This window comes from Homo sapiens, chromosome 3 (assembly GCF_000001405.40).
Source record: "Homo sapiens chromosome 3, GRCh38.p14 Primary Assembly".
NCBI classification, from domain to species: Eukaryota; Metazoa; Chordata; class Mammalia; order Primates; family Hominidae; genus Homo; species Homo sapiens.
Window position 1 is genome coordinate 131,523,373 of NC_000003.12, and position 10,196 is coordinate 131,533,568.

General features: G+C 42.7%; 1 pseudogene; it reads left to right on the plus strand.

The window, feature by feature from the left end:
* On the plus strand, positions 3,096–3,769 carry BCL2L12P1 (BCL2 like 12 pseudogene 1; annotated as a pseudogene).

Sequence of the window (10,196 nt, forward strand, 5' to 3'; positions counted from 1 at the left end):
CACCTGGGTTTGACATTTGGGGCTCTGATTGCAGGGATTGCAATCCCAGTGGATCCCAGCATTGCCAAGGATTACCTCTGGGTTGTTAATGAATGCAGGCAAGTCCTTTTTAGCATTTTTACGTTACTTGGAAAAATGATTCAATATGCAAGAGTGAAGAAAAAAATCTTCCTCTTGAAATGTACCAAAACTGTTCATCACCAGTAAAAGAAATTCTTGTCTTAGAAACTACTCTGGCTATCAGGATGGGAACATTAATGGGGAAGCAGTGTCTGCCCACCTTAGAGTAAGCCCTGCCAAACTCAGGCGTGCTTTCAAATTTTGTAAAAGTGAATATATATATAACATATATATATTTTATATATATATAAAATATATATATATAAAATATATATATGTTTTATATATATGCATGTATGTTCTATATACCTAAAAGAACACTGTATAGTATAAGATACCATTATATTTTTGAATCTATTTTTTCCCTCATAAATTCCTGGGCAACACTAGAGAAATTATTTCAGAGCTTGAAGCCATATTTACTTTTTAGGAAAAAGCATTTTTTGTTCCATCAACAAGGCTGGAGTTTTAGAATCCTGCTATGTTCTCAGGAGTCACAAACAGGAATGGAATGGCAGCCTGATGCACCTTTATGAATTTACACTGGGGTTTTAAAATTAGAAAACACTGTACATTTAATAAAATAAGAAATGCCTACAAAACTTCAGTGTTTCTGAGTAAGCTTGATTATTACATTATGCATACTAAAGACCCAAAAAGGTCAGGATCCCACACACAGTTATGAATACCAACATTTCTTTGTGATGCTCTGTATAACTGCAAATGGCAGAACCTTTAAATTAACAATATGAAGAAGGCTTAGATGCATTTTGACACTGAAGAAGAAAGGATAATGGAATTGCAGGGATAAATTTGTCTTATTATTGGCAACTATGAAATTTTTAAAATCAAACCTTTGTAAATGTTTAATGAGATTTTTCTTTTCTCCTGAGTTATTAAATTAACAATGTATTTTATAGCCCATGACTTCTTATAGCAAACACAGGATTCAGTTTTATGTTTATCTCTTTTGCATCATAATTTCCTTTGTTCACTACAAGTTTTCAGGAAAGCTTTGTTAAACACTACTTTCTGTTCTTGGTTGCACTTTGGAGGATTAAGCAAGGAAAATGTGTCCATGGTGGTATCAGGGGTGGTGGGTGTGGGGTATGATTTAAAGAAAAATGCAGCCACCTAGAAATCTGTTAATGTGATACAAGGGCAGGAGATAATTAGCAGAGGAACCTGGAGCCACATACAAAGTGAGAGGTGAGGATGGGTTGGGAGCGGACCCAGGTGAGTGACTGGGTGGCATGCTAATCTAATAAACTGGGGTATTACAACATTTTATTGTGTGTTATTTAAGTTGACGTGAAATTCACATAACATAACCTATATAACATAAAATTAGTCATTTTAAAGTGGAAAATTTAGTGACAGTACATTCAAAATGTTGTGAGCCACCACCTCTATCTAGCTCCAACAAAATACCCCAACAGGATGATAACATTCCTGTCGGGATATTTTGTTGGAAGGCTGGAGAAACTTGGGGGACATCTGAATTACATAATTGCATTGCATAAACCTTGGGAAACTGGTCACATTTTCTTGTATTATAAGCTTGTTGTACTTAATAATGTTTGCCTCAAAATCTTGGTGCTAAACTGAGAATTTTGGTGTAATAACAGTTAATGCACCAGAATTTGATTTGTGCTTACCAGCTATATTTCTTTCTTTTTTTTTTTTTTTTTTTTTTGAGACGGAGTCTCACTCTGTTGCCAGGCTGGAGTGCAGTGGTGTGATCTCTCGGCTCACTGCAACCTCCACCTCCCAGGTTCAGGTGATTCTCCTGCCTCAGCCTCCCAAGTAGCTGGGACTACAGGCGCCCACCACCACATCCAGCTAATTTTTGTATTTTTAGTAGAGATGGGGTTTCACCATGTTGCCAGGGTGGCCTCGATCTCTTCGGCCTCCCAAAGTGCTGGGCCAGCTATATTTCCTAAAAAACTGCACTGAGGGTCTACTGTAAGTGGTTCCCCTCCCACCAGAAGGATGACTTCTCTTACAGATTTAATTCTGCATGCTCTAATCACATATTGGGCACTAAATAGGGTCTCAGTTTAAAGGTAAGACAGGGCTCTGTTCTCTGGGAGAAACTGAGGTACTAGGTGGGGAGAAAAGTTCTGACAGAGGTATGCACAGGTAAAAAGGGAATCCACAAGGTAAATATTTAGTTTAATCTAGGGTAGGGAAGAGAGGTTTAGGAGGGCTTTTTTTCTTTTCTTTTTTTTTTTTTTCGAGACGGAGTCTCGCTCTGTCACCCAGCCTGGAGTGCAGTGGCACGATTTTGGCTCACTGCAACCTCTGCCTCCCAGGTTCAAGCGATTCTCCCACCTCAGCCTCCCGAGTAGCTAGGATTACAGGTGTGCACTACCATGCTTGGCTAATTTTTGTATTTTTAGTAGAAACGGGGTTTCATCATGTTGGCCAGGTTGGTTTCTAACTCCTGACCTCAGGTGATCTGCCCACCTTGGCCTCCCAAAGTGCTGGGATTACAGGCATGAGCCACCGTGCCAGGCCTAGGAGGGCTTCTGAGAGGAGTTGACATGTGAGCTGAGTCTCCCAAGATAAGTAGACATTAACTGGGTGAAGGGGTGGGATGGGGGAAACAACAAACCAATGTGAAGAGTTTGTTAGCAGTGTAGGGTGGGGTGGGGTGGCTAAAAGTGGGCAGAAAAAGTGTGCAAGGATCAGGATGAAAGTCAGATGCATGTTATGTTCAAGGTCATATTCAAAAATTAGGATTTCATTCTGAAGTTGGTGGGGAACCACTAAAGTATTTTAGGCAGGGCAATGAGATGCTTAGATTTATTTCCTAACTACCACTGTGGCAGCAGTATGGAGAGCAGATTGGATGAAGGTAATATGGATTACAGAAACCAGTTAGGAAAATCTTTTACATTCTAGACAAGAGGGGATAAGGTTAGAATAAGTCAGGAGCAGTGGCTATACAAAGAAGTGTAAAAATGATGACAGTAGGAGTTGAGTGGAGGAGATGGCAAGTTGAGCGGAGGAGGTGGCAGTGGGGCCCCAGATCAGGTGCCTCCATGGCAGGCTCTGAAGAGCTGGGGCTCCGGGAAGACACGCTGAGGGTCCTAGCTGCCTTCCTTAGGCGTGGTGAGGCTGCTGGGTCTCCTGTTCCAAATCCACCTAGAAGCCATGCCCAAGAAGAGCCAACAGACTTCCTGAGCCGCCTTCGAAGATGTCTTCCCTGCTCCCTGGGGCGAGGAGCAGCCCCCTCTGAGTCCCCTCGGCCTTGGTCTCTGCCCATCCGCCCCTGCTATGGTTCAGAGCCTGGCCCAGCTACTCCAGACTTCTATGCCTTGGTGGCCCAGCGGCTGGAACAGCAAGAGCAACTGAAATCTCCGCCTAGCCCTGCTGGCCTCGGACCCCGCCCTGCCGCAGCAAGCGGATCAGCCTGGCCTCCGGCTTTTTCGCCCGCCTGGTGGAGCTGTTCTGTAGCCGGGAGGACAGCTCTCGCCCAAGCCGAGCATGCCCCGGGCCCCCGCCTCCTTCCCAGGAGCCCCTGGCCCTGGCCATGGAGCTGAGCCGGCGCGTGGCCGAGCTGGGGGACACCCGGGCCGGACTCAGCGTAGAGCACGCGCACAGCCTCACGCCCTGGATCCAGGCCCACGGGGGCCGGGTGAGCCGCTGAAGCCTCTCTCTCCCGGCCTCACTTTACCCGACTGCCATGTGATAGAGGAGGGGCGGGAACTGCTTAGGTTCCTCTCAGACCTCCGGTATTCTCCCAGCTCCACTGCGTTCGTTCTGTGGTGAGCCCTTGCTGTATGCCCGGACTGCAGCCATGAGTGTGGACGCTATGCCTGGCGTCAATGACTGGGTACGCTAATACTGTGAGCGTGAAACCAGTGACTGAAGTTACTCAGGGAGAGGCCGGACGAGGTGGTTCATGCCTGTAATCCCAGCACTTTTGGAGGCCGAGGCAGGAGAATTGTTTGAGGCCAGGAGTTCAAGACCAGCCTGGACAACATAGTAAGACCCCATCTCTACAAAAATTGAAAATAATTAGCCGGGGTCGGGCGCGGTGGCTCACACCTGTAATCCCAGCACTTTGGGAGGCCGAGGCAGGTGGATCACCTGAGGTCAGGAGTTTGAGACCAGCCTGGCCAACGTGGTGAAACCCCGTCTCCACTAAAAAAATACATAAATTAGCCGGGTGCGGTGGCAGGTGCCTGTAATCCCAGCTACTCGGGAGATTGAGGCATGAGAATCGCTTGAACCTGGGAGGCAGAGATTGCAGTGAGCTGAGATCACGCCACTGCACTCCAGCCTGGGCGATAGAGTGAGACTGTGTCTCAACAAAATAATATAATAATAAAAACCGGGTGTGGTGGCTTACGCCTGTAATCCCAGCACTTTGGGAGGCTGAGGTGGGTGGATCACTTGAGGTCAGGAGTTTGAGACTAGCCTGACCATGGTGACACCCAGTCTCTACTAAAAATACAAAATTAGCCAGGCATGCCTGTAATCCCAGCTAAGGAGGCTGAGGCAAGAGAATTGCTTGAACCTGAGAGGCAGAGGTTGTAGTGAGCCGAGATTGCGCCACTGCACTCCAGCCTGGGCAACAAGAGTGGAACTGTGTCTCAAAAAATAAATAAAAATTTTAAAAATTAATAACAAAAAAATGATGGCAGTAATAATTGCAAATGTCACAATATACCGAGTAGTGTGGCAAATGCCAGGTGTCATAGATGTTGTGTTTTGCAACCCAGATCTCCCCATTCAGGCTTGAGAATTTATTCTTTCAGTTGCTGAGACCCAGAGGCTCAACTTTTCTGAAATTTCCTTAGTTGAGAAGAGATGCTTTGACCAAAACCAACCCTTCTTTTGAGGTATCTGCTGGCTTATCTATGATGGGGTATAAAGGCCAGGCCCCTTTTCCCCAGCTTGGGATCACTTCAAAGGGCTGCCCCTTCAAAGCTTCTTATGGGATCAGAGTGCCTCTTCCTTTTCTTTCCTTCTGCAGTTCATGATCCTGATAATACTCCCTTAATAGTCTATCTGCATTCTAATCTTGATCTTAGAGTTTGCTTTTCAGGGAATACAACCTCCAGACATTGTTCTAAGGTGCTTGCATACATTATCTGAAATCGCAGCAATTTGTCAAAGTAGGAATCATTCTCCCTCTTCTACAGATGGGGAAGTTGAGGCTCAGAGATACCATCCCACTCTTAAATAGCAGAGATTGGATTTGAATTCATGTTGTTTTGGCTTGAAAACACCAGGTATTTTCACATACCGTGCTCAAGAGGAAGGCACTGAGTCAAGACAGGATTAGAGAGTAGAAGTTTTTTAAGGAGGAATTTGATTATCTATTCCATGTGGAGGGCAAGGGAGGGGATGATGATAAACATGGTTGACTGGCTTGATTGTTCTTCTCACCTGTGTCCTTACCTCTCTTCCTACACCACTGCTCTACTTTCAATGTTTGAGAACATCTTCGTGAGAAAGTCCACAAATAGTAAATGTCTTAAGTGTTAAGGCATATATAATATGTCTAATGGGATCCCAAAGTCCTAGAGTCAGAGGGCAGCTCTAGGCTGTGAGCTCCTCCAGGAGCAGGGACCAAATATTTTTATCTCTGCCTCTCTCACTTTAACTCCCATCCCCCTAGTTCTCACCCCAAGCCTAGTGCAAGGTTGGTGCTTATCAAGTGGGGTAGACTAAAAAACGGGAGGTATTCAAGCAGATTTAGAATAACCTCTCCTAGGCAAGGTCTAGAATCAGCAGTATTTTTTAACGCCACTCCTTGACTTGGTCTGTATTTTTCTTCTATTACCATGGGAAGCCTTTTTACGATTCTTGAACAACCCACGTTTACTCTAAGAATCATCTAGTAATATTTTGCATTTCTTCTTTTGTGGTAGGCAGAATGGCCCCCCAAATAAGTCCAAGCCCTAGTCCCTGGAACCCATAAACATGTTCTGTTTATGGGTTTACGACTTGAATGATATAATTATGGTTACAGAGCTTAGGATCTTGGATTGTCTGGGTGGGCCAATCTAATCATAAACCCTTAAAAGCAGAAAACTTTCTTTGGCTGGAGTCAGTGAAATACAGCAGAAAAAGAAGTTAGAGTCAATGTTTGAGAAGGACACATCAGTGCTGGAGGGGGCCCCATGGAGAGCGTGAGAGGGAATGTGAGAAGCCCTTCAGAGTAAAGATTGTGTCTGCCCCCACCCCACCATCCCTGACACTGCCCTCCCCTCTACTTTCTTGCCCAGCTGATAGCCAGCAAGAAAACAGGGACTTCAGTTCTGCAACTGCAACCAACAACCGGAGTGAGCTTGGAAGCAGATTCTTTCCAGAGCATCTAGTAAGGAACACAGCCCTACTGACACCTTGATTTCAGCCTTATGAGACTTTAAGCAGAGGATGCACCTGAGTCTTCTTGGATTTCTGACCTATAGAAACAGTGAGATTATCAATGTGTGTTGTTTTTACACACTAAGTTTGTAGATGTGTTATGCAGAAATAGCAAACAAATACAACTTTGGCAAGTAGGCTATAAAAAGCAGTTCTCAGAGTGAGGTCCCTGAGACTCTTTCAGGGGGTCTCTGAGGTAAAAACTATTTTCATAATAACATTAAAATGTTTTTCACCTTTTTCTCTATATTGACACTGGCATCAATGGTGCAAAAGCGATGGTGAGTAAAACTGTTGGGGCTTTAGCTCACATCAAGAAAGTGGCACCACATGGTACTAGTGTTCCCTGTATTTTTCACCATCATCACACACTTGAAGAAAAAACATACAGTTTTACTTAACACTATTCCTGGTGCAGTAGGAAAATTATTATTTTTATTAAATTTTGACCCGTGAGTTCATGTTTTTCAAATGCTGGGAGACAAATTGTAAAGCACCAGAAAGTGCTTTTGCTGCATTTTAACCTAAAATGGTTGCCTCAAGGAAACGCATACATGCCATTGTGTTTGGAGCTGATCTAGCTGCTTTTTTTCCTCATAGAACATCATTTTTACTTGTAAAATGACTGACAGATAAGCCAGAGCTATTCAGACTTGGGAGATATTTTCTTAAAAATGATTGAAGTAAGCCTGTCACTTCAAGAAAAACAACTGACAGTATTTGTTGGCAATGATAACATTTGAGCTTCCTAACAAAGATTAGAGTTTTGGAAAGCCTGAACCTGCCACCATAATTTGACAAGTTCTCCATACTTAAAGACTGTCTGGTGAGATCAGCAGTGATATTGTACAGCAATAGAAAATGCAGGGTTTTTTGATATTATAAAATAAACTGTGCAAGCATTTGGAACATCTAAATAGCTGAGTGGATCAATATTTTCTGAATGCCCAGTACATGATGCTACAAAATAGTGCATGGGTAAAAGAACCATTGAAAATGCTAGGACAATTTTATTGATATGATTTCATATTCTACATTGCAACTAACCTTTAAAAAACTACCACTTGTTGAGTTTGGATGTGGTAAAAAGAAGGACAATTACCTGAAATAGCTAAAAATAGCTCTCCTCTTTCCAACTACATATCCACGTGAGGCCAGGTTTTCAACATTGTACTTTAACCAAAACATCATTTCACAACACATTGAATACAGAAGCAGATATAAGGATCTGGCAATCTTTTATTAAACAAGGCACTAAAGATTTGAAAAATTATAAAGCAATGCTGCACTTCTCACTGACCATTTTTTGGTTTTGAAAGTATAGTTTGTTATGAAAGTATTTTATTTATGTTATCATGTAATGGGTCTATTATTGCTATTTAAATAAATTAATAAATATATTCCATTTCCAGTTTCAATTCCTAATATAGCAAATGTTAATAAATATAAGCCACAGAAATAAAGCCTCTTTAGGGTCTTCAAGAATTTTAAAGTGTGTATATTATCTGTTGAGACCCAGTGGAGAGCAGGCCATACACAGATATAACTCAGTGGTTCCAAATTTGCACACAGAGCAAACATAAGCCCAGAGGTAGTTTTCATTTGACTTGCACAGATTGGTTCTTGCAATTTTTTTTTTTAGACTGAGTCTTGCCCTGCCCTGTCACCCAGGCTGGAGTGCAGTAGCGCGATCTCGGCTCACTGCAACCTCTGCCTCAGGTTCAAGTGGTTCTCCTGCCTCAGCCCCCTGGGGAGCTGGGATTACAGGCATGCACCACCACACCCGGCTAACTTTTGTATTTTAGTAGAGATGGGGTTTCACCATGTTGGCCAGGCTGGTCTCGACCTCCTGACCTCAGGTGATCCGCCTGCCTCGGCCTCCCAAAGTGCTGGGATTACAGGTGTGAACCACCGCACCCAACCAGCTCTTGTCGTCTTTTTAAACAGTTACTGAATTTTAAATGAGCTTTCAATATTTATAGATCAGTAGGTTTTATGTGAAATACCATGTTTTTCAGTTTTCTTAAAAAACTGGTTGGGCTGGCTGCATTAGGTCCACATTCTTGCATGGCCCCTGGACCTGGGTAGCAGCTGCCTTCTTCTGGACACACGCGTTCCAGTTTCCCTCCATTCTTCTTACTTTACTCTTTATGTCCCTCTGTTAAAACCTGTTTTTTTCTTAGTTATTCCTATGGCTTGCACAGCTCTTGGAAGCATCTGTATTTGTAATGTCCAACCTAAATGGTCTCCTTGATGGCAAGAAGTTGGGGAGACCTGGCTGTGGCTTGAGAATTTTCTATTGCTTTCAGGGGGGGATGTTGTACATCACGAGACACCAAGTGCCCAAAACAACAATCTGAGATCATCAGATGAGACGGATCTTTCTGAATTTGGGAGCAAAGGATATTTTAAGGCTAATTTCTCTCAAATTTCCTAATAATCTGCTGCTTGATATGGCAAGTGAATGAGTATAGTGCAAGAAGGATAGCCGAAATGGGGATTATACAATGAATTTGGGTTTAGGAGCCAGAGTATCCATATTTAAATCCTGGCTCTGAACTTCCATAGCTGTGCAATCCTGGCAAGCTACCTAATCTCTCTGTGTCTCAGTTTCCTCATCTGCAAAGTAAGGCTATTAATACTACCGATCTCACGAGGATGTTGGGAGGATTAAATGAGATAGTACATTACAAGCACTTAGAACAGTGCCTGGCACACAGTAACCTTTTGTTATGAACTGAATATTAGTGTCCCTCCAAAATTCATATATGAAGCCCTACCCCTCAATGTGATGGTATGAAGAGGTGGGGACTTTTGAAGATAATTAGGCTTAGATGAGGTCATGAGGGTGGGATCCTTGTGATGAGATTAGTGCCCTTATAAGAAGAGACCAGAAAGCTAGCTCTCTCTCTATCATGATAGGACATAGTAAGAAAGTGGCTGTCTGCAAGCCAGAGGTGAGCTCTCACCAGGAGCCAAATTGACTTGTACTTTGATCTTTGACTTTCCAGACTTCAGAACTGTGAGAAGTAAATTTCTGTTGTTTAAGCTACCCAGTTTATGGTATTTTGTTATAGCAACTTGACCTGACTAAGACACCCTTCAATAATTCATAGATATTATTTTTATTGTTCTTTTGAGATGAACTTGAGTCTGACTGTGAAAAGGAAAGTAAACTGCTTTAAGGTTCTGCCAGGCCAACTGCAGTCTGTCCTCTCTGCCCCATCTCACAGACTCCAGGAATCCTGACATGAGTGTAGAGATCCTAACAGATCTTTGTGAATGACAGGGTGCATCATTTAATTGATAGACACAAACACTTAACCTACCTGTGAAATCTACAGTGGATTAAAGATTGATCATAAGGCATATTAACAAGACTATTCATTCATTTACTTATTTTATTAGTCATCTCTGTATTTATTAAATGTCTGTTGAGTGTTTACTGTGTTCCAGGTATATAGACATGTAAGTTCATGTCTTGGTTTGGGGTTAGATATAATCACCAGATATTTCTGTAATATTGCACCTAAATATTTTAATTTCTTGTTTATTAGAAGCAGTGATCCATGTTTTCATTGGACTGTGAAAGAGCTACTTCTACTCTAAGGCCACATTGCCTACATGAAATAAATTATTGTTAGGAAATTGCCTTGAAAAGAGAAACAAGACCACAACTCTTAGAAGAA